Source organism: Homo sapiens, chromosome 2, assembly GCF_000001405.40.
Source record: "Homo sapiens chromosome 2, GRCh38.p14 Primary Assembly".
Taxonomy (NCBI): Eukaryota; Metazoa; Chordata; class Mammalia; order Primates; family Hominidae; genus Homo; species Homo sapiens.
The window spans coordinates 55,102,534-55,127,753 of record NC_000002.12 but is presented as its reverse complement, the minus strand read 5'-3'; the positions used below and the strand labels follow the sequence as shown (position 1 = coordinate 55,127,753).

Below are 25,220 nucleotides of genomic sequence, written 5' to 3'. Positions count from 1 at the left end.
GTACAATAGAACAGTGGAACAGAATCAGACATCTGTGATTGTGTTCTAGCTCCGTCCTTTGGCAGCTATGAAACTGTGAGCCAATCAGTGAGCCAAGGCCTCAATCTCCTCTCTGAAAATGGGAATTACCCCAGCTTGTGTGGGGTATTATGAGGATGGATGACGTGATGAATGGGAAAGTCGGTTGTATGTGCTCTAAGAAGTATAATATGGACTTAGCGTTTGGGGACACATGAAGAAGAGGATATGGTCTCTGTCCTCAAAGAGCTTGTGATGTACACATGTAGAAACATAAAACAGGACAAGACAGGAAATGATCAAGTTGTCAAATTGTAAGGTAGTGGAAGTTGGAGAAGAACCAGTGTTCAGGACCAGAGTAAAATCCTATCTGTGGCTGTGCTCTTATGAAAGCTGCCCAAGCGTGAAATGAAACGAAATCATCCAAAGGTGATCATCTTGTCAGCCTGAGTCTTTTTGTCCTGTCTTGTTCTGAAGAACAGCGGAACACCTCTTGGGGCAGCTTTTGTCCTGGGCTCCTGGCTCTAAGGCCACCTCTTTCTTTTTTTTAATTAAAGGTTACTTTTAAACTTTTATTTTAGATTTAGGGGTACACATGAAGATTTGTTACATAGATAAACACGAGTTATGGGTGTTTGTTATACATAATATTTCATCACCCAGGTATTAAGCCCAGTACCCAATAGTTATCTTTCCTACTCTTCTTCCTCCCCGTACTCTCCCCCTCAAGTAGACCCCAGTGTCTGTTGTTTCCTTCATGTTCATAAGTTATTATTATTTAGCTGCCACTTATAAGTGAGAACATGCAGTATTTGGGTTTCCGTTCCTGCATTAATTTGCCTCCAGCTGCATCCATGTTGCTGCAAAGAACATGATTTCATTCTTTTTTATGGTTGCATAGTATTCCATGGTGTGTGTGTACCATATTTTCTTTATCCAATCTGTCACTGATGGGCATTTAGGTTGACTCCATGTCTTTGCTATTGTGAACAGTGCTGCAGTGAACATTCACATGCATGTTTCTTTATGATAGAATCGTTTATATTCCTCTGGGATATACCCAATAATGGGATTGCTGGGTCGAATGGTAGTTCTGTTTTTAGCTCTTTGAGGAATTGCCCCACTGCTTTCCACAATGGTTGAATCAATTTATAATCCCACCAACAGCGTATAAGTGTTCCCTTTTCTCCACAACCTCACCAGCATCTGTTAGTTTTTAACTTTTTAGTGATAGCCATTCTGACTGGTGTGAGATGGTATCTCCTTGTGGTTTTGATTTGCATTTCTCTAATGATCAGTGATATTGAGCTTTCTTTTCCATATGCTTGTTGGCTGCATATATGTCTTCTTTTTTTTTTTTCTTTTTGAGACGGAGTTTTGCTCTTGTTTCCCAGGCTGGAATGCAATGGTGCCATCTCGGCTCATCATAACCTCTGCCTCCCAGGTTCAAGCGATTCTCATGCCTCAGCCTCTCCAGTAGCTGAGATTACAGGCATGCGCCACCACACCCAACTAATTTTGTATTTTCAGTAGAGATGGGGTTTCTCCATGTTGGTCAGGCTCCATGAGGTCTCAAACTCTTGACCTCAGGTGATCTGCCCTCCTTGGCCTCCCAAAGTGCTGGGATTACAGGCATGAGCCACCATGCCCGGACCTTTTTTTTTTTTTTTTTTTTGAGACGGAGTCTCGCTCTGTCACCCAGGCTGGAGTGCAGTGGCGTGATCTCGGCTCACTGCAAGCTCTGCCTGTCAGGTTCACACCATTCTCCCGCCTCGGCCTCCCAAGTAGCTGGGACTATAGGCATGTGCTGCCATGCCTGGCTAATTTTTTGTATTTTTATTAGAGATGGGGTTTCACTGTGTTAGCCAGGATGGTCTTGATCTCCTGACCTGGTGACCCGCCCACCTCGGCCTCCCAAAGTGCTGTGATTACAGGCATGAACCACCGTGCCTGGCTTTTTTAAAATTTTTGAGACAGAGTCTTGCTCTGTCATGCAAGCTGGGGTGTACTGGTGAGATCTTGGCTCACTGCAACCTCCGCCTCCTGAGTTCAAACGATTCTGCCACCTCAGCCTTGTGAGTAGCTGGAATTACAGGCATGTGCCACCGTGCCCACCTAATTTTTGTATTTTTAGTAGAGACAAGGTTTCACCACGTTGGCCAGGCTGGTCTCGAACTCATAACCTCAAGTCATCTGCCTGCCTTGGCCTCCCAGAGTGTTGGGATTATGGGCGTGAGCCACCGCACCCGGCCATATGTCTTCTTTTGAGAAGTATCTGTTCATTTCCTTCGCCCACTTTTTAATGGGGTTGTTTTCCTCTTATAAATCTGTTCAAGTTCCTTATAGGTGCTGGATATTAGACCTTCGTCAGATGCATAGTTTGCAAATATTTTCTCCCATTCTGTAGGTTTCTCCCATTCTGTTTACCATTGATAGTTTCTTTTGCTGTGCAGAGCTCTTAAGTTTAATTAGATCCCACTTGTCAATTTTTGCTTTCGTTGCGATAGCTCTTTGTGTCTTTCTCATGAAATTTTTGCCCATTCCTATGTCCAGGATGGTATTGTTTAGGTTGTCTTCCAGGGTTTTTATAGTTTTGCATTTTACTTTTAAGACTTTAATTCATCTTTAGTTGAATTTTTTTCTTTTGTTTTGTGCAGCAGTCTGCATTATTGAATTGATTTTTGTGTATGGTATAAGAAAGGGGTCCATTTTCAATCTTCCGCATATGGCTAGCCAGTTATCCCAGCATCATTTATTGAACAGGGAGTCTTTTCCCCATTGCTTGGTTTTGTCAGTTTTGTTGAAGATCAGATGATCATAGATATGTGGCCTTATTTCTGGGCTCTCCATTCTGTTCCGTTGGTCTATGTGCCTGTTTTTGTACCAGTACCATGCTGTTTTGGTTACTGTAGCCTTGTAGTATAATTTAAACTTGCATAATGTGATACTTCCAACTTTGTTCTTTTTGCTTAGGATTGCCTTCACTATTCAGGCTCTTTTTTTGTTCCATATAAATTTTAAAATAGTTTTTTTCTAGTTCTGTGAAGATTGTTGGTAGTTTGATAGGAATAGCATTGAATCTGTAAATTGCTATGGCCAGTATAGCCATTTTAATGATACTGATTCTTCCTATCCATGAGCATGGGATGTGTTTTCCATTTGTTTGTGTCTTCTCTGATTTCCTTGAACAGTGTTTTGTAATTCTCATTGTAGAGATCTTTCACCTCCCTGGTTAGCTGTATTCCTAGGTATTTTATTCTTTTTGTGGCAATTGTGAATGGGATTGCCTTTCTGATTTGGCTCTTGGTTTGAAGGCCACCTCTTTGTTTTCCTTTGATTTAGCCTTACATGCCTGCAAGGCTTTTATCTATCAGAGACTTTGCCTCCTTGGTTAAGTGTCCCTGTGAGAGCTTCTAGGTAACAAACCAGGAGCCATCAAACTGGATCTAGACGGAAAGACTGAGAAACTGGTTGTTGGGGCCTCAATACACCCTATGCTATGCCCCCTCCTCAGGAATTCAGTCTTGTTCCGTGGTGTGTCCCCAAAAGAATGAAGAAGTTCATCAGAGAAGGATACTGACAAAAGAGAGGGGATTAGGGTGATTCTCTCAGCTCAAACTTGCTGCAGCATCTATGTGTGGGGCTGGCAGTTCCACTGTGGTCTACGGAGAAGAGTCCTGTGACTGGTTTCTGCATTATTTTGCCTTTGCTCAGCTGTGGGCCAGTACAATAAGGATACAAAGTCCTTAGTCCATCCCTGAATGGGCCATTTTACTTCCCAAGACCAGCTGCCTTACAGAGAGATGCTGGACTTCATTACAAAGGGAGGTGGTGACTGAATAGTCCTGGTTAGGGCTGGCTACACAATTTGCAAGGCCCAGTGCAAAATGAAAATGCAGAGTCCTTATTCAAAAATTAGGAAAGAAAAGTGCTATTAAAGGTACTTTACATAAACTTTTTCTTTCAAAAAGATCTTGTTACTTATAAACGTAATAGGCATAATAGTGTTACACGAGTAACAATATAAACTTACAAATGCAAAAATCCACTTTTGGTGTCATATGGTATAATATAATATAATATAATAAGTGATAATTATCAATGTGATATCTTGATCATAAGATTTTTCTGGCTTACTTTTTTGCAAATTCATTTATGAGGTCATCAAAAGTTTTACTTTTAGCAACTTCATTTTCAATTGATATAATTGAAAGTGACAGTCATTTTTGGCAAATACAAGATCTCAAATAATTTTTGATAGTTTTTAATTTTGAGAATAATCTTTCTGCTGATGCAATTGTTACTGGAGCTCTTAAGTATATTTTATAGGCTGGGACAGCATTGGGGTAAATTTCTGATAAATTATTTTAAAATATAAATTTTAGTACATTTAGAGTTGATGATAGCCTTCAAGTAAGTATGAATTTAATTTCAAATATAAATTTATGAGTGACACTTTAATGTTTCCTTTGGCATTTTTTGCAACTTGCTGAGGTCATACAAGAATCAAAAGTGGTTTCATGATTTATATGTAGTTAAAAATGCCTATTTATGCATTCTATTGCTTTATCTTCCATTATATAAATTAATTTTTTATTTTCTTTGTGGTTAATAATTGGCTTATTCCTTAGAAAATGATGCTTTTTCTGCTGATGCAATGGTCTCTAAATTTAATTTCTATTTCTAAGTCTGTGGATATTGGATTTGCAGTGCTGTAATAATTTTAAAACTAGAGATTCCAAACTCTTTGGAGAATTCTAATAACTCTGATTGATATGCTTTATTGCAATGTCCATGTGTACATTTGTATTTTGTGGTATTAACTAATTTAACAACCAGGTTTACTGCTTGAGCACTGGCAGTTCCTGTCCCAGGGCTCTGGCTGGAGAGTTATTATTTGTGCAGATGGTGCAGGGACAGGCTCTGGGGATGGGTGTGTGTGCAGGTCTCCCATCTCTGTCCTTGTGCTTCCATGTGGAGTTTCTACCTCTTCTGGGGCTGTGGCCACTATTGCCACCTCAGCTTCTGCTGTCCCCACCACCACTGTCACTAATCTGGGCTCAGCTCTGTTTCTGGGTGCTGCCCAGCACACTGCCTGCTTGTGCCCATAGGACTGACCCATGTGTGCATGGACTGCTGCCAGCTTATCTTCCTGCTCACATGCCTGCTCCATCGTCTCATCAGACGTCACTTACAAAACACAAGTTCAAAGATAAAATTATTAAGAATTTCAGACAATAGCCACAGGACATTAAACCAACTATGGGGTTCTTTTGGAGCCTTGGGCTTGTGCAAATGACTACACAGGTTGCAGGCCCATGGAGCCAGCTCTGGTCAGGGCCATGTGTGCAAACCTTGGTGGGGAAGTAATGACTTCTTGGTGTTGTAAGCCGGAAAGCACTCTAAGTCGGGGAACCTGTAAAAATCAGGAACATGTTCTGAAAAATGGAAACCCAAGGCCGGGTGCAGTGGCTCATGCCTATAATCCCAGCACTTTGGGAGGCCGAGGCAGGTGGATTGCTTGAGTCCAGGAGTTTGAGACCAGCCTGGGCAACATGGCAAAATCCTCTCTCTATAAAAAATACAAAAATTATCTAGAGGGGGCCCCTACCTGTGGGGCTGAGGTGGGAGGATCGCTTGAGTCCAGGAGGTTGAGGCTGCAGTGAGCCAAGATTACACCACTGCACTCCAGCCTGGGCAACAGAGTGAGACCCTGTCTCAAAGAAAAAAAAAGAAAAAAGAAAATACAGATAAGTAAAAATAGGAAATCCCACCTAGCAGAAATACGGCTAAAATTTTGTTATGTACTCTAGCAATCTTTTTGTTTTTCTGTATGTTTTCAGAAAAAAAGTTAAATATAGAAAAGTACAGTGAGTAACATGACATGACAAGCACTCATGTTCTCGGTACCCTGAATGAATAAATATTTACATTTTGGCATATTTATTTCAGGTTATTTTATAAAAAAGAAAACATTACTGTTCAAGTTTAAGTCCCCTTGGTACCTCACTCAAATCCCATTTTCCTTCCTCCTTCCCTGGTAATTGTCATCATCAGAGGAAGAGTAAGAATAATGGTCGATGACAATAGCATGATAATAATAATGACCTCAGTGGATAAAAGGATCTGTCATGCTTCCCAGAAAATTCTGGATACTTTGATAGATGCTCTATGATTATAATTATCTTTTCCCAGAGCCTTCTGTTCAACAGACTGGTAATAAACAGAACATGAATCAAATGGGTAGATATTAGCTAAAAGTTTAATTAGCTGAAGAAGGAGAAATAGTGGTAATGGTCTTGGGCTGACGTCTCTTGAGACCCTAATCCCAAACTTCACAGTATCTCTTAGTGATGGTTTTCTTACCAGGGCAATTCCTTGTGGTCAGTTAGATTTTTCCTGATGTTGTACTCATAGCTCCCTGAGCTTCCTCTATCATAATACTCAACACAAGATTTTTTACCAGTTTAACTGCAGGTAATTTTTACCAGACTGTGAGCTCCCTGAGAGCAGGGATCGGGACTGACTGTCTCATTCATTGGTCTATTTCCAGTCCCATGTATGGTGTCTGTCAGACACTGCACAATAAGTATTTGGTGAATGACTGGAAAACAGTCTCAGGACATAGAGCTGTTGCTGTTGTGTGGGATTCAAGGCTGATTCTGGGTTCTTGGGTTTAGTCTGGCGAAGGCATTGGATGCTGAACATTTTTATTGGGGGTATTTGGTTCTGTGGCCCCATGGGAATTTTTCCAGCTGTCCTGGTGGCCACCAGGGTTTCCTTATTGGTCAAGTTAACCCTGAAAGGAGACCCTGGGGACCCCTGTGGTTGAATGCCATGTCTGGAGCAGCTGCTGCCTGCAGCTATGTGTGTGTAAGCCGGAGACCCGAGCTTTTCTTAATCTCTGAGCCAGGCTGCTGACAATAAATAAGCTTTCCACCCAACAGCTGCTGACAGTCGCCTCCCACACAGCCCGCCCGAGCCCTGCCTGGAGATGGCATGTCTCCTTCCCCGTTGCTCTAATAATAACAACATTATATTCTCAGTCAGAGCTTGAGGGCTTCACTCAGAGACATTTTTTCACTTGCTTGAGAATGGGAGTTAGAGAAAGCATAGAAATGTAGAAAACTCATTTGGACATTTATTTAAACCATCTCAAACTTAATTTGGTCAGGTTCAAGTTGTTAAAGATCTCCTGCTCGTCTTCTGACTGCTGAGCAGTTGAAAGGGGACAAGCAGAATGGAGGGACAGTGAGAGGTTTGGGGGCCAGCCCCAGCTTGGAGGAAGGGCCCGTTGTAAAGCCTGGGCCGGAGGAAGGTTGGCAAGGCAGGGCCCAAGCCTGGGCTCTAGTTTCCCTGAGCCTGCCAGGGTGCCCAGCCAGGAGTTTCCTTCTGTCTGTGCCCACCCTGGTGAGCTGGAGATAGGGGGAAACCTGCTGGGAAAAGTGGCTTCGGAGAGCTAAAGTGAGGGGGGCAGGAAGCATTGCTTTCCTTCTAAGAACCTTTGCTTCCTTCGGCCTCAGCATCTGCCTGGGGTGACACAGGGTTGCTTTCTTCAGAGATGCGGCTGTGCTGTTCAGCCCCTCCTTAGGTTCTGCCAAGGCAAGGCCTGGGTGTCCAGAGTGGGCATGGGAATCATTCACCCACCCCACCTCTCAGTGCCGTGGGCCAGTCTGGGCCTCACGCAGCCCACAGCGAGGCATGGGTTTGCATTTTACAGTCACTTGCAATGACTGCGCTTTTTTCCAGTTCATGGGAGCAAATGGAGAGGTGTTCTGGGAATCCCATCTTCACCCTCCTGCATCTGAGGCTGGTGAGCAGCTGAGAGAAGGAGAAATGAGAAGCCAGCTGGTCAATGGTCTGACTCCTCCACCCCTGCATAATTATGGGTTGGCCATGTAGCTAATCCCGTTTTCTCAACAGCCCTATGACATGAGGGAGGAGGAGGTGGTTGTGGAAACCACATGCCCTAGATCCTAGTGGTGCTCCAGCAGTCTGGGAGCAAGGTTGCCCTGGGAGATCCCTGGGGAACTATTGACTTCTCTCCCTGATCTTTTGCTTTTTTGCCCCCTGTAATACTTTCATCATTTTCACTATGGCTAAGCGAGATTCCAAGTTGGGCTGGTCACTCTGCCCAGAGAATACAAGTTCTATGAAGAAAAGTGCTCTATAAATCCAAGGCATTATGAAATTTACTTCTACTATAAGGCTTTTATACTTGCATCCAATAAGTCTGTGTCCCCTATCTAAGGGATGAAGCCAGCCAGCTATCACACGAGCTCTCTGTTCTTAAATAGACTCAAGGCTTTGTTCAAAGCTTTTCAGGTGGATTCATTTAAAACTGCAGCTTCCCTGCCACTTTAAGAAATTCACCCTATCCATCGTCAGCCTGGTACTGTTGAGTATATTACCATTATACGTAGAGGCATAGACTATAGCTCCCAGTGTAGAAAACAAAACTTTAGATTGAGTAATTGCAGGAAACTTGACTGCAATTCACTGAGAATGTATTTTGACGAATAAGGAAAAAAACGTTTCAAAAAATAGGTCAGGGCGCTTTTAGGGAGCCCAAAAAACCCGCAAGGATTCTCTGCAGGTGTAATAATTGGGCAGTCCATCCAGCCTCCCACCTCTGTCTCCTTCCCTTGTATTTCTTTTCCAGGCTGCTGTCTGTGACAGCTCAGGAAGGGGCCCCAGGCAGCTCTCCTCTGAATTCTTCCCCCGATATCTCTCTGCCTTCTTCACACACAAATCAGCCTCACTAGCACCTCAGCTTCTATTTTTAGCTGCTGTTTTGCATTTTGTGTAGAATACAAGGAAATAGAATGCAGAATTTAGACAGGAGAAAAGGCAGGCTGCTTGCTTCCTGATAAATTGTCAGGGACCCATATCTGATGGTTGAAGCCTGATAGCAATCAGAACAGCAGGGAACAGAACGGTTGCGTCCTCATCTGCATTAGAGAGCAGTCTCTTTTCAGGGTTCCATGAGCTAGGGCCTTTCTGTCCTTTTCCCTCTGCACTGATGGCTGGTTGCATGGCTTCAGAATCCACTAGACTTAACTCCTGGTTTGGTGAAGATTCAACTTGACACAGATAATTGATAAAGTTGAGAGGGAGTTTGTGCATGTGTGTGAGTGTGTTTTGGGGGGCAGGGAGGATTGTTTTACAAAAGAATCGTGAACTAGATTCAATAGTCTGTCCACTAGAAGCAGAGGACCATATTCTATACCCTTTATCATGTGAAACTTCTTCCTGGGTGTCTTTTTTTTTTGAGACAGGGTCTTGCTCCATTGCCCAGGGTGTAGTGAAATGGTGTGAACACAGCTCGCTGCAGCCTTGACCTCTTGAGCTCCAGCGATCCTCCCAACTCAGCCTCCCAAGTAGCTGGAATTACAGGGGCACACCACTTCTCCTGGCTAATTTTTAAAATATTTGTAGAGGCAAGGTCCCAGTATGTTGCTCAGGCTGTTCTTGAGCTCCTGGGCTCAAGCAATCCTTCACCTTGACCTCCCAAAGTGCTGGGATTACAGGCATAAGCTACCATGCCCAGCCCTGGGTGTCTTTTAAAAGATGGGGCAAAATTTTGAGAGTAGACTAGATCGGTGCTATCCAAAGTGTGGCAGCATCAGCAACATTTAGAAGCTTGTTAGAAATTCAGTCTTCTCAGGGGTGGGGTTGCTACAAATTTCCTTAGTGAGACAAAACAGAAAATCCCAAACAAACCAACCTTTGTTATTATGAAATATAACACACAGAAAACTGCATAGATGCATTATATAAAGGGAATCTTATAAAACCAAATGAATTGTAATAAAAGGAACCCTATGTCATTTCCACCCATGTTAAGAAATGGAACATTGCCAGCACCCCAGGAGACCCTTGCCTAGTGGAATTCCAACTCCCTTCCCTACCCCAAAGGTAATCACTCTCCTGGCTTCTGTGCCTTTTTCTTTTTTTATATTTTTACCATCAAAGATTGCATCCCTGCATAGCACAGAGTAGTTTGCCTATTCTTGACCTTTATCTAAATGAAATAATGAAGTGCATACTTCTTTGTGTCTGGTTTCTTTTGCATATTTTGTCTGTGAGATTTCATGAAGCTTTTAACACAGCAATTGTTGCCCTTTCCAGAGCTGCCACGCCCTCTCATTGTTTAGATCCATAGCAACCCCTCAGAAAAGCATAGATTCTCCTTTAAAATTACAGCAAGTTAAAATTAATTTGATTAATGAGGATTTCACTGTGCTCCTTGAGCCAGGTGTTATTCCCTGGGATGCTGCCGAGTCAGGATTGGGACTTGCTGCTCCAGGGCTCTAGCTGTGTCTTCTCTGTTCCAGGATGAGCTTGAGGTGATGGTTAGGAGGCCCTTCAGGAAGAGGCTGCTCATTGAAGGGAATGCTCGAAGGCATGAGCTTTCAGGAGCCTCGAAACCCAATATTCAACCAGTGTGTGACATTGGATCAGGTCCAAGATGACCCAGGGCTATTTCAAGGTCTCACATGTCTGTCTTTATGCTTTTTTCATTGAAGTTTTCTGATCCATCACGTAAGAAACAGCTATCTGGCCGGGTGCGGTGGCTCACACCTGTAATCCCGGCACTTTGGGAGGCCAAGGCAGGTGGATCACTTGGGGTCAGGAGTTCAAGACTGGCCTGATCAACATGATGAAACCCCATCTCTGCTAAAAATACAAAAATCAGCCAGGCATGGTGGCGAACACATGTAGCCCCAGCTACTTGGGAGGCTGCAGCAGGAGAATTGCTTGAACCCAGGAGGTGGAGGTTGCAGACAGCCAAGATTGCACCACTGCACTCCAGCCTGGGTGACAGAGCAAGACTCCATCTCAAAAAAAAAAAAAAAAGGAAAAAAAGAAAGAAAAAGAAACAGCTATGCATAAAGGAGAGTTCTGGGAAGTGTCGAAGAGATGAGACATCTAAGTTGCAGTTATTGACCAGTCTTTTCCCCTAGAATCTTGCTCCCCACAGAGGTTAAGGGCATGGTCTTTTAAGTCAGACCAACCTGAATTCTGGTCCTGCCTCTGCCACTCATTAGCTGTGTGACTATAAGTTCATCCTCATCTTAGAATGGAGATTATAATAATAGTACATACCTCATGGGGCTATTTTGATGATTAATTAAGAAATGCTCGTAAAGTGCTTAGCATCTGCCTAATAATTCTAGCTAACAGTGAATGCTTCCAATGTATCAGCTACTGGAATCCTATATAATTGATTCTATTGTTATCCTGAATTTCAGACGAGGAAACTGAGGCTCAGAGAGGTTAAGAAACTTACCCAGGATCCCATGGCTAATATGTGGTGTGGAGGCATTTTAACACTCTTAACCACTGTGTTGTATATCTATTTTTATCATCATTTGAAGTCAAGGCTCTGATATTCTTGATATGTTTCTCCCATTATCTGTTTCAAACCTCTTACATGGCTTCTAGCACAGCCAGAGTCTTATCAGCTGCTGGTCCAGGATCAGCCTGATGAAACAATTAGAAATGAGGCCCCGGCAGTGACTCATGCCTATAATCCTAGCACTTTGGGAGGCCAGGCGGGAGGATAGCTTGAGGCCAGGAGTTTGAGACCAGCCTGGGCAACAAAGTGAGACCCAATCTCAAAAAAAAAAAAAAAAAAAAAGACTAGTCCCCATCTCCTTGTTATATGATCCTCTTTTGGGGTTGTCTCTCACAATGGAAGCTAATGGCCACAACAGTAGCCATGTTGAATGCACCCAGAGGGTCTTTGCTGTCACTTTACAAAGCACTAGCTTACTAGCTTACCCTGAAGCCTTGAATCACACTGAGCTGGGATTCTGCAGCACTGAGTCATCAAAATGTTTCAAGGGTTAAAAAATGGTCATAAGAGGATGGCATAAAGGAACTGTGGGGAGGAGGTAGTAGTTTCATAGCAGCACACTGGTGACTTTAACTTTGAGCCAGATATACAAGTTGCTAGATTTCCCTGCCCATATGTGGTAAGAGGAGAAGCAATGTACAGAAAGGATGAGCTAGACAGAATGCTTTTCTTCTATTGATGACAAAAACATAGTGCCCCGGAATAGACTACTGAGGGGCTATTGGGAGCAGACTGCTTTCTTGGGCAGTAGCATTAGTAGCTTAAGACGGGGGTGGACCCCAGCCTTCGTTTCTCATGATTTTGTGATAAGGATGTTATCTCTTTATTCTCAGATTTCTAGAAATCTTCTACAGTGTGGTGGGCAAAATCGTGCCTCCTCTCCATAGATGTCCACATCCTAATCCCTGTTACCTATATATATAGATGGGCCCAGTGTAATCACGGAAGTTCTTATAAGAGAATGAGAGAAGCAGGAGAGTCAGTTTCATAGTGATGTAATGTGAGAAAGACTCAACCAGCTATTGCTGGCTTTGAAGATGAAGGAAGGGGACCAGGAGTCAAGGAATGTGGGAGCTTTTAGAAGCCAGAAAAGGCATAGAAACAGATTGTCCTCTAGTGCTTGTAGAAAGGAATACAGACCTTCTGACATCTTGATTTTAGCCTAGTAAGATTCATGTCAGACTTCTGACCTACAGAGCTGATAAGATAATAAATGTGTGTTGTTTTAAGCCACTAATTTGTAGTAACTAGTTATATAAACCACAAAAAGCTAATATGCATAATTTAACCCATATACCAAGAATATGATTTGGAAAATCAAATTGTCTGAAGGGAGAAGTTTTTATATTCTCTCCTAGCTGTGGCTTCTGTATCCCAAGTACATGAAACCTGTCAGCCCACATGCATGTGCTGGTGTGGCATCAATGGTGGTAACAGTTAATAAATACCTCTATCTCGTAAGGCATCTTTAAGCTGATGCACCCTCTAGTGAACCTGGGACTGACAAGGGGAGATGAATGGGGGTGGCTATTCTTCACGCTATTGCCACCCGTGAGCATTTGCACCCAGGGAAGCTTCAGAGGAGGAACGTGCCTTTTTAAAGGCAGTCTGGAGAACAGGTGTACTAACTTTCTGTGGTTCTCTGGAGTTACTTATTTACTTGTTTATTTATTTAGAGACAGAGTCTCACTGTATCACCCAGCCTGGAGTGCAGTGCCGCAATCTTGGCTCACTGCAACCTCCACCTCCTGGGTTCAAGCAATTCTCCTGCCTCAGCCTCCCAAGTAGCTGGGATTACAGGCGTGCGTCACCACGCTCATCTAATTTTTGTATTTTTAGTAGCGACGGGGTTTCACCATGTCAGCCAGGCTGGTCTCGAACTCCTGACCTCAAGTAATCCACCTGCCTCGGCCTCCTAAAGTGATGGGATTACAAGTGTGAGCCACCACGCCCGGCCTGGAGTTAATCAGGAGACATCAAACATGACCTGGACTTTGGAGCCTCCTTGTTCCTTTCCAGCTCCATCCCCTTCATAGAGAAGTGAGTTTCTCCTTTGCTGACTCACATTTCAAACTGCAAAGTGGAGCTGCAGACTAATTCACAAAAGAGAGAGGTGGAACAAACCAACACTTGGTGCAAATGGTGCACCAAGTCCCAGAATGAAAAAGTGACATCATAAAATATTCTAAGTGTGCCTGTCTTATTATAGACTAATGTAAAGACAGACGATTCCAAACTGCTGACTGGAAAAATATAAATCTAGCTATATTTTCCGATAAATTGTATATTTAGCATTTTAAGATGAAAACAAAACTTTCAACAAGTACAAAGAAAATCAAGTTTTGAAAAATTCATGGTTTCCAAAGCAAATTTGTGAGGCCATTTCAGGGAGCAATAGGCTCAGCATAGATGTTTCTTTCACAGCCCAGTTTAGTTGCCTAGGACCCAGGTTCAGAAGCAGTTGATATTCTGTTTTTGGCCAGGAAGGGATGGCCGAGAACATTCCCAAGAGCAGTGAAGGGCCTGTGTTTGGCACCAGACTATTAGACAGGTGGTTCCTTAGCCTTCTGATTCTGGGCTGGTCAGTCAGTCATGGTCTCCAGTCACTTTGGACTGGGGGTCACCTCTCCCTCACCTTCTACAGGAGTAATAGGTGCTTCTAGCAACTCTTGGGTAGGGTAGAGTTGGGATGATGTGGGTTGTGAAACCAGGCTGATAGAGCCAATTTACTTACACTGGACTGCATGGACCCTACAGGTCCGGAGTGAGAGGTCACTTGCTGGACGGAAATCCATAATATTGTTCAATTGAAACAAGGGCTACTGCAGCAACTTCTCCCCCAGAGCAACTACCACCACCACCCTTGTCTCTTTTACCCACTTCAGAGAGACAGACAGAAGCTTTCCAAAAGAGGACAGAGTAGCCAGGGATGCTAAATGAGTGGGAGGTAGTCATAGTCTCACCTGAGATCCTCCTCTGTTGTTTGTGAGTATTGATAAGGCTTGAATTCAGTTCCACATTGACCTGAACATGCCCCAGTCTGTAGAAACCACAGTTCTGAAGTCCTGAGGGATCCTCTTCTACAGGTAAGCAAGGCTTCCACACATAAAGAAGAGAATACACCTTTTCCCACCCCAGGAAGCCTTGGACTGCACTGCTTACCCTCCTCGCAGAAGAAAGGAGAGGGCTTCTTTTGGTGGTGGCCTTTTTATTTTTCTAGCAACAGCACAGGACATAGCCTTTCTCTTAATGTCAGGTCACGGTCTTCCTCCTTCTCACACCAGTGCTGGTGGTTTTTGGGGCCCTGGAATCACAGTGTGGCCAGGGCCTTCTATCTATGGACCATCCACTGAGCTCCCAGTTGCTCACGTTGATCTTGCCACAATTTTTCTTTCTACAGTTTGTTGTCATGTGTCTAGAGAGCAATTTTTCCATCTTTGTAAATGTCAGACTGTTGCTGCTTCCTCTTTTTGTTTTTAGCTATTTGGTTGCTCCAGAAACTCCAGCTGGGGGTTGGCAGAAGAAATAAAACAAGGAAGCCAGAGCCATGAGCAGCTCTGAATAAATAGCGGCTGAAGTGGCAAGGACAATGAAAATAACAGATAATCCCCAACTCTCTTTTGATGATACAATTGGAGTTCTCCTCTGGTAGATAATTCATCAGAGCTGTTCATGGCTATGCTCGAGCCGCAAGGCGGGGCTGGGAGCCAGCGGCAGCGTGGATGCTGGGAGCTTCAGGGTCAGGTTCCAGCAGGGCCTCTGAGGACTGCTGCAGACACAGCTGAGGCAGCCCGGCTCCAGGCTCGCTGGAGGGGCTGTGTCTGGGGAGATGCTTCTCTATAAAAAGCTTAGAGGTCAGTGTGGAGCTTCCTATTCTTTCCTCTGGCCGTGCTTAGATTTAGAACAATACTAGTGTGGAAAGTGCAGCTGCTCTAAAGCCAGTAGTGTTGACGTGGTTGGGAGCCTAGACCCCTAACCCCACAGTCTGGGCTCAAGCCTTGCTTAATCACCACTTGACTTTGGCTCTGTGACCTCTGGTTTCCTCACCTGTAAAATGAGGATTTTACGGGGTTGCTGTCCGGGGGTAGATGAGGCAACATATGCCAAGTGCTTAGCAAATGATAAGTGTTCAGTCAGTGGTACCTTTCTTCTTAGTATTATTTGTCATTGTCACCACCATCATCTCAGCCCAGTGCAGGTGAGCTGGGAAGGTAGGCCTCATATAGTCCTGAACACGCTCCCCCACAGGGGGCCTCTCAGAGCCTCTGAGCTCCTCACAAAGCCAAGGCACGCTCTTTCTGGAGTTTGGTAGCATTTAATAGGAAGGTATTGCCTAGGTGGTTGCTTCCTCTTGAGTGTCGCCATTGGAGCAGGATCCCCAGAGACTCATTGCAATTAACTGCTTCTGGTGGTTGAAGCAGTTTTGAGAGCAGTGCGTGCCCACAGAGGCGGATTTCAACACGCTGAGTCATACTGCAGGGTCTGCCGGCAGAGCTGGTCACAAGGCAGGAGGCAGGCAGCATTCGGGAAGATGGATAGACATGGGGTGAGGTAGATTTTTTAAGGACATTTCAGTGAATATCTGTTCAATGTGTCTGGATAAAGGAAGGGTGGACATTAACGTTTTTTCAACACTTACTCTGTACATGGCCCCTACAGTTGGGCTTCGATTTCGTTGAATTTCCTCCAAACTAGCCAGTGGAGACCCCTCCTCCTAAACAGCCCCAAACACCCTCCTGAGTGGGTCCTTAGGAGAGGTCTGTGACTCCCAGCAGAGGGTGGGAGGTGCTGTGGAAGGCAAAGCCACTTTCGTGGGCCTGGATTGGGGAACAATCCTCCCTCTGCTCCCACAAACACTAGCTAGGTGGATTTATGCGAACAGGAGTGAGGAACATTTATTTCTGTCTGAGGTTGAGTAAGGTGTCACAAAAGGCAGTGACTTTATTTATTATCTCACTATGGGATGAGAATCTGCTTTCCACAGTTGCTATGGATATTTCGTTGTTTCTGTTGATACCACCATCTATTTGGGCCTAAGATTTGAGGGTGCCTCTGAAAAAGGTTTCTTTGTTATCTCTGTGCTTGCTCTGTTTTTAAAATCTCGGAAGAGTGAGGTTAAAGTGAATTTTTTTTTTTCATGCAAGTATTCCAGTGATCCCTCAAGAATTATTGGAAAATAAAAAGCAACTTTGCAGCTAGCAAATTTCCCAAGGTTAGCAAGCAAGCAAGTAAAAATAAAGACAATTTGTTTTTATTTTGTTTTTATTCTTTTCTTTTTTTCAGACCTTATCCCCCATGCGGAGATACATTATTATTATTATTATTGTTATTTTGAGACACAGTCTTACTCAGTTGCCCCGGCTGGAGTACCGTGGTACGATCTCGGCTCACTGCAACCTCCACCTCCTGGGTTCAAGCAATTCTCCTGCCTCAGCTTCCCAAGTAGCTGGGATTACAGGCATGTGCCACCACGCCCAGCTAATTTTTGTATTTTTAGTAGAGACAGGGTTTTGCCATGTTGACCAGGCTGGTCTTGAACTCCCGATCTCAGGCGACCTGCCTGCCTTGGCCTCCCAAAGTGCTGGGATTATAGGCATGAGCTACCGTGCCTGGCCTGGCGTAGATATATTTTTAATCTGTATTTTTCCTGATTTGAGGTTGGCTTTCTATTTTATTTCTGGAGTAAACACCCTTGACATTTATTTAAAGAATGAGACAGTTTTTTTTAAAGGATCCAAATGGACGTATATGCGCCCTCAGATAGATTGACATTGGTCTGCATTATTGATAAGTAACCAGGAAATGCTGTTTGGGAACATTTGTTTTCTTCATCAGCAAGAATTTTTTGAGCCTTTATTGGCTGTGATATGTCATAGGGTATTCCTGATTGTTCTGTTTGTTTTGATATTATTGTAACCTTGGGCAAATATCTACCATTCTAAGGAAATGGAAGGTGAGAAGGGGTACTCAGGGGCCATTTGGGCTATGCCTCTGCTTCTTTTACAGCTGCTTTCTATTGATGAGAGGCACGAGATTCCAGAATTTTTTTTTTTTTTTTTTTTTGAGACAGGGTCTCCCTCTGTCACCTAGGCTGGAATGCAGTGGCAGAAACTCGGCTCACTGCAACCTCTGCCTCCCAGGCTCAAGCAATCCTCCCACCTCAGCCTCACACGTAGCTGGGACTACAGACATAGGCCACCATACCTGGCTAATTTTTGTATTTTTTGGGTAGAGATGGGGTTTCACCATGTTGCCCAGGCTGGTCTCGAACTCCTGGGCTCAAGCTATCCACCAGTCTCGACTTCCCACAATGCTGGGATTATAGGTGTGAACCACCACGCCCAGCCCTGAGATTCCAGAATTTCTTTTGTTCCTTTCACTATTTATCATCCTTCCCTTATTTTTCTTACCACTTCTGAATATAAATTCAATGTCCACTCTTTTTTGGAAGAGAGAAACAGTTTTCTCCCCAGGGAATAAATAATATCCCTCTACAAGGCTAAGATTGTTTTAGGGTGCTCCCTCAGACTCCTCTTTTCTTGGCTGAGTGATTCCCTTTTTCAAATATTTAGGGCATATTTACTCTCTGCCTGGAGCTCCTGTTTGCCAAAGGGCACTCGGGTCAACATATGCTCTGAGTCACTAGCCATCTGCTCCTTTTTCTTGGACAAACCCCTAACATGGAACATATACAGTAACACCCCCTTGCTCCAGAGCATCAACAAAGTAAACACCCTGCTCCAGTGCTTCCTTTTCTAAAAGGTGTTTTAGCAGAATCAGGGAATTGGGGCATAGCAAGTGAGTATCAGTAACAAATATTTTCAGAGGACAGAAATTCCAGAGATAAATGTCCTTGTCAAAGCTGAGTTACCCTTTTTTCTATTCAAGGCCTACCTAGCTACGTGATACTGTACCTGTTGGTTTTTCTATAGAGTGGAAGGAGTATGAGGTATTTGCTTTTGTAAGCACAGTTAATACCAGAAGTGATCAGCAGAGAAGCAGCTGCATTTGAGTCACCCTGAGCAATTTATTATCAGCATTGACATTTCTTTAACTTTGCATCTATTAATTATTGAAGGGCTCAGGCTGTTCAGTGACTTTGTCCCATGCAGGCATCCACTTGCTGGGTTCTAAAAATTATGGCTGTGCTCTTAAACCTTTAGTGCATTTTTATTTTTAAAGGAATTTAGCACTCTTCTAATATATAACTGTTTTTTTCATTTCAGTATTTCAGGAACTTAAAATTTATCAATCTTTTAACAGCTGTGGCTGAAACGTTTCAAAAGTGTGTGTGTTTAAAGGTTCGATGTATCGATTTAAAACAATCCCACTTCTCATAATTTAGAAATTGTACTTGGAGACGTGTCCAGCTGAGCCTGCTGTCACTTGGAAACGCTGCAGACCTGAAAAAGCTGCTGGCCTTGATCTTCTCTTTGCACAGAGTTTCCTTAGGGATGTGTTTAGCACAGAGCTCCTGGAATTATTCTGTGAGGAATATGGCTGTGAAGAGCTCCTGTAGATTCTTAGTCTTACTATTTTTTGGGATTTTAGTCATAGAAATTGGCCTATGATTAGGCTGGTGCAAAAGTAATTGCGGTTTTTGCCATTAATGTTTTTAATTAAAAGTAAAGGCAAAAACCGCAATTACTTTTGTGCCAACCTAAATATTTATTTCTTTATGGGAATCAAAGTAATAAGAGAGGAGAGGTGGGTAAGGATAGGGGCATGGCCCTGTGGCTTCTTATTTCCAAATCCAGTGTAATCTGCTTTTATTACCCCTCTTCCCCCATCCCTCCACTAGAGCTGCTCTTACTGGTTCTTCTCAAAATTCTGTAAGAAAAACAAACCCTATTCAGTATGGCTAGCAAGGGATTCTGAACCTACTAAACCCTCAGTTCTCAATATTATCATTCACCCTGAGTGGAATTCCAGGCCCATCCCCGATGCTGGAGCCCCTTCACCCTTCTCCCTCTCCTGCCTGGCAAGAGATGAGCACTCAAGTAACTAAATGCTCTCTAGCTTAGAATTTGGGGATTACTACTGAAATGGGCAATTTTTAAAAAAATGCTTAATCACATTTCCCTATAGCTGTCCATATATCTATATACATAAAGAACTGGGCTGGGTGGGTTGGCTCACGCCTGTAATCACAGCACTTTGGGAGGCCGAGGCAGGTGGATCACCTGAAGTCAGGGGTTCGAGACCAGCCTGGCCAACATGGGAAAACCCCATGTCTACTAAAAACACAAAAATTAGCTGGGAATTGTGGCATCGCCTGTAATCCCAGCTAGTTGAGAGGCTGAGGCAGGAGAATCACTTGAACCCAGGAGGCAGAGGTTGCAGTGAGCTGAGATGTGCCACTGCACTCCAGCCTGGGCTATATACAGAGCAAGACTCCATCTCAAAAAAAAAAAGGACCGAATTTAACAGGATGGGAAACGTGTGTTTTAAAGTCCAGTCTCTATGTAGCTAAAGGCATGATGAGGTTGTACAGAATCTAGTGTATATTTATCTATACCACATACAGGCTTTCCAGAGTCATGCAGAACTATTCACAATCTCTGTTTTTGTAATTATAGTTGACCAAGGGTGAGAAATCCTGAGTTGGGATCTCTGTTTGTCTGGGGAGTGGCACAGACATTCCTGATGTTCATAGATACTGGGCCTCTGGATGCCCAGGGCACCCTTTATCTACCCAGAGCCTGACTACCATCTCTGCTCACTTTTGTGTCTGCTTAGCCTGAAGTGCCTGAACTTATTCTATAAATACCAGCCTTGTTGTTCAAATAAGAGCTTCTTTGGATTCCTAGCCACCACAAAACCCCCCCAGATGTACCAGCCAGGCAGTCTCATACTGGCTGTGAGGTTTGTTCTGCCTTCCCCTGTGAGAATGAGCAAGGGCAAGAAAGTAGGGCCTAGAGTAGCCATCACTCACCCTTTCTTTCTTTCCTTTTTTTTTTTTTTTTTTTTGAGGTTCAGTCTTTACATTCAGCAAATTTAAATCCTTACAAGATTTTTTAAAACTTATTTATGAACTGAAAATATTGCTTGCTGATAAAACTTGCTTAAATGCTATCACTGAATGTACAAGTCACTGATTATGCCAATACAAGAAAAATAAGCACATGTTTGATTATTGCAATGTGCCAGACATTCACTGAAAAAAAAAAATACACGCAACTAAACAAAACTCACTCAACAAACATCTGAGAATCTGGGCACTTCATATCAGTGTTTTGAAGTGTTTCATTAATATCTTAAGACAAATGTATCAAAACCTTGGCATGATTTAATTTTGAGTCACCAATTTTGTTTTTATTAACATCAGAAAGTTACAGCTACACTGCCAATGCTGGGTCTGCTTAATTTAAGAGTTTAATATGACTTAACATTAAAAGCTCACACTACTCTAAAATATATGATTTTACACTTACGGTGATATTCAGCATTCAGGTGCTAGTGTTTGTGTACTGTCTTTTGGTTCACTTTCTTTAAACATTCAAAGAATCACTTTTAGGCTTACAAAAATAAATATTTGTTAAAATGTTCAATAAGACGGGGCATGGTGGCTCACGCCTGTAATCCCAACACTTTGGGAGGCCTAGGCCGGTGGATCACCTGGGGTCAGGTGTTCGAGACCAGCCTAGCCAACATGGTGAAACCCCATCTCTACTAAAAATACAAAAATTAGCCGGGCATGGTGGTGCACGCCTGTAATCCCAGCTACTCAGGAGGCTGAGGCAGGAGAATCACTTGAACCCAGGAAGCAGAGGTTGCAGTGAGCCGAGATCACGCCACTGCACTCCAGCCTGGGCAACAACAGCAAAACTCCATTTAAAAAAAAAAGTTTAATAAATATTACATGAAACTTGCAACAAAATGTATCTAGAAATTTGTCATTATCACTTATCCTTTCCTCTCACAACTGTGTGAGGCCCTGGATGAGGGCTTTGGGAGACACAAAGATAACAAACTCAGTCCCAGCTCTCAAGGAGTGTACAGTGTGATGCAATAGAAGATATATGCACAGATGATTATATTATGAGAAAGAAGGAAAAGCTATGGGGGAGGAAGAAGAGGAGGAGGGCAAGAAATTCAGGGTAGGGTGAGCTGTCACCCAAGTGGAATATGTGCGTCTGAGCTGGGACTACAGATGAGGAAGGATTTGAACACAGGAAAATAGGTGAGCTATTTAGAAAATTATGGCTTTGGATCTCTAGCTTATATAACAAACCGAATACCAAATCTCAACAGTATGATATTAAAAAGTACAACCCCCCAAATAGTAGAACATATAATTGAATATGTGCTTTTGAAAAGGTGAAGTATATTTTAAGCATAAGAGAAAAGAAATAAGATACAAAATAAAAGATTGCTTAAAAAATTTATTTTAGAGATGGGGGTCTCCTCCTGTCACCCAGGCTGGCTTGCAGTGGCATGATAATAGCTCACTGTAGCCTCGAACTCCTGGGTGCAAGCGATCCTCTGGCCTCAGCCTCCAGAGTAGTTAGGACTACAGACATGTGCCACTGTACTTGGCTAACTTTTAAATTTTTTGTGGAGTCTGGGGCGGGGTGTCTCTCTATGTTGCCCAGGTTGGTCTTGTATCCCTGGTCACAAGTGTTTCTCCTGCTTCCTTCCCCTCCCAAAGTTCTGGGATTAGGCATGAGCCACCACACTCAGCAGAAAAGATTGCTTTTGACTACAATAAGATTACCTATCATAAACACACTCCACAAAATAAAACAGCAAGGGAGAATGGGGAAATATTTATTACTTAATAATAGATAAAGGGTCAGTAACAATATACAGAGCTTGCGTAAAATAAATTAGAAAAACAATCTCAGCCAGCATGGTGGCTCATGCCTGTAATCCCACAACTTTGGGAAGCTGAAGTGGGCAGATCACTTGAGATCAGGAGTTTGAGACCAGCATGGCCAACATGGCGAAAACCCATCTCTACTAAAAATACAAAAATTAGCCGGGTGTGGTGGCAAATGCCTGTAATCCCAGCTACTCAGGAGGCTGAGGCAGGAGAACTGCTTGAACCTGGGAGGTGGAGGTTGCAGTGAGCCAAGATCGTGCCACTGTACTCCAGCTTGGGTGACAGAGTGAGACTCTGTCTCAAAAAAAAAAAAAAAAAAAACTTCAATAGCAAAAAAAGGGGGGAAGGCAATGAGTAATTCACAAAAAAGAAATATGGAAGGCCTAAAAATGTGAAAAAGTTCACATAAGTAGTAATCAAAGAAATGCTAATGAAAACAATGAGCAGGGCCAGGTGGCTCACGCCTATAATCCCAGCGTTTTGGGAGGACATGGTGAGTGGATTGCTTGAGCTCAGGAGTTTGAGACCAGCCCGGGCAACATGGCAAAACCTCATCTCTACAAAAAATATAAAAATTAGCCTGGCGTAGTGGTATGCTCCTGTGGTCTCAGCTATTTGAGAGGCTGAGGTGGGGAGATCGCTTGAGCCCGAGAGGTTGAGGTTGCAGTGAACCAAGATCGCACCACTGCACTCCAGCCTGGGCGACAGAATGAGACTCTGTTTCAAAAGACATATATAACAAAAAACTAAAACAAAACAATAAACAGATACTACTTCTCATTATTAATCTAGGAAGTTTCTTTTTTTAAAAAAATTATTATTTCCCAATGCTCAGCAAGAAAAATAGGAAGGAATGGATGTCTCTTCATTCAGAGCTGCCCTTAAAAAATAAAAACAAGGCCAGGCACGGTGGCTCACACCTGTAATCCCAGCACTTTGGGAGGCTGAGGCAGGTGGATCACGTGAGGCCATCAGTTTGAGACCAGCTTCGTCAACATGGTGAAATCCTGTCTCTATTAAGAATACAAAAATTAGCCAGATGTGGTGGCATGCGCCTGTAGTCCCAGATACTCGGGAGGCTGAAGCACGAGAATCATGAACCCAGGAGGCGGAGGTTGCAGTGAGCTGAGATCGCAACGCTGCACTCCAGCCTGGGCAACAGAGCAAGACTTGTCTCAAAAATTTAAAAAACAGCCAGGCATGGTGGCTCACGCCTGTAATCCCAGTGCTTTGGGAGGCCGAGGTGGGTGGATCACTTGAGGTCAGGAGTTTGAGACCAGCCTGGCCCACATGGTGAAACCCTGTCTCTACTTAAAAAAAAGCAAAAAAGATTAGCCGTGTGTGGTGGTGCGTGTCTGTAATCTTAGCTGCTGGGGAGGCTGACCCAGGAGAATCGCTTGAACCCAGAAGGTGGAGGTTGCAGTGAGCCCAGCTAGTGCCACTGCACTCCAGACTGGGCAACAGAGCAAGATTCCATCTCAAAATAAATAAGTGAATAAAAAGAACAAAAAACACTTTATTGAGGTACAATTTACATATAAAAAGCTACACATAGGCCAGGTGCGGTGGCTCATTCCTGTAATTGCAGCACTTCGGGAGGCCGAGGTTGGTGGATCACCTGAGGTCAGGAGTTTGAGACCAGCCTGGCCAACATGGTGAAACCCCATCTCTGCTAAATATACAAAAATTAGGCGGGTGTGGTGGTGGGAGCCTGTAATTCTAGCTACTTGGGAGACTGGGGCAGGAGAATCGTTTGAACCCGGGAGGTGGAGGTTGCAGTGAGCCGAGATTGCACCACTGCACTCCACTCTGGGCAACAGAGCGAGACTCCGTTTCAACAACAACAAAAAAGCTACACATTTTTAAAGTATACAACTGTATAGAAGTCTTCTGTGAGACGTAGAAAAAGAGGGAAAAAAATAAAGTACACAGCTCTGTGGGTTTAAGGATAAGTATATACCCATAAAACCATCACTACCATCAAGACCATAAATATATTCATCACCTCCTAAAGTTTTCTCCCAGCCCCTTTATTATTAATATTATTAATTTTTGTGTGTGTATGGGTAAGAACACTCAGTATAAGAGCTACCCTCTTGGACACATTTTAAGTGTACAATACAGTATTGTTAGCTATAGGCACTATGCTATATAATAGGTCTCCAGAACTTATTTATCTTGCATAACTGAAACTTTGTACCCTTTAATCATCATCTCCCCATTTTTCCCTTTCCCAAGTCTCTGGTAACCACAATTCTACTCTCTGCCCTGAGTTCGACTTTTTTAGGTTCCACATGTAAGTGAGATCATACAGTATCTTTCTGTTTCTGGTTTATGTCACTCAGCATAATGTTCTCCAGGTGCATCCTTTTAAAACTCATTGTTTCTTTAAATGTTTTATAAACTTTTAAAAATATACTTCCTTTTTTTTTTTTTTTTCCGGAGTTTTGCCCTTGTTGCTGGAGTGCAATGGTGTGATCTCAGCTCACTGCAACCTCCGCCTCCCGGGTTCAAGTGATTCTCCTGCCTCAGCCTCCCTAGTAGCTGGGATTACAGGCATGTGTCACCATGCCCGGCTTATTTTGTAATTTTAGTAGAGACGGGGTTTCTCCACATTGGTCAGGCTGGTCTCAAACTCCCGACCTCAGGTGATCCGCCCGCCTCAGCCTCCCAAAGTGCTGGGATTACAGGCGTGAGCCACCGCACCCGGCCACGATAGTAACTTCTTAGATTAATAAAGAGATTTGAATTGTCTTTAGAAAAACAATAGAGTTTTGTCTTACAAATTGTTTTTAGAAAATCTATAGAGTTTTGTTTTATAAATCTCTTGGATTCTCCTCTCCTACCTCCTACCCTTCAATACCAGGACCAAAGAGAAGCAGCAGATCCCAAGCACCATGCACTGGCCTATTAGCAGGGACTGGCAGTTGGCCATGTGTCAAGTCCAATCAGCCACCAGATTCTTGTGAGGTCTGCCAACTAAGGACGAATTTCACATCTTAAATGATTAAAAAA

General features: G+C 43.4%; 1 protein-coding gene across 1 annotated transcript in view, besides 1 other annotated feature; it reads left to right on the top strand.

Annotated features, from left to right (window-relative positions):
* The window catches only part of RTN4 (reticulon 4), a 165,643-nt gene that overhangs the window by 10,078 nt on the left and 130,345 nt on the right, over positions 1–25,220 (top strand). The gene's annotated exons all lie outside the window — the stretch shown is intronic.
* Positions 11,387–11,681: an enhancer, noted in NCBI's record as "tiled region #4359; HepG2 Activating non-DNase unmatched - State 21:Repr, and K562 Activating DNase matched - State 5:Enh". NCBI's record gives its function as "activates a minimal TATA promoter and a strong SV40 promoter by Sharpr-MPRA in HepG2 and K562 cells {active_cell/tissue: HepG2 | K562}" and the evidence as "EXISTENCE:reporter gene assay evidence [ECO:0000049][PMID:27701403]".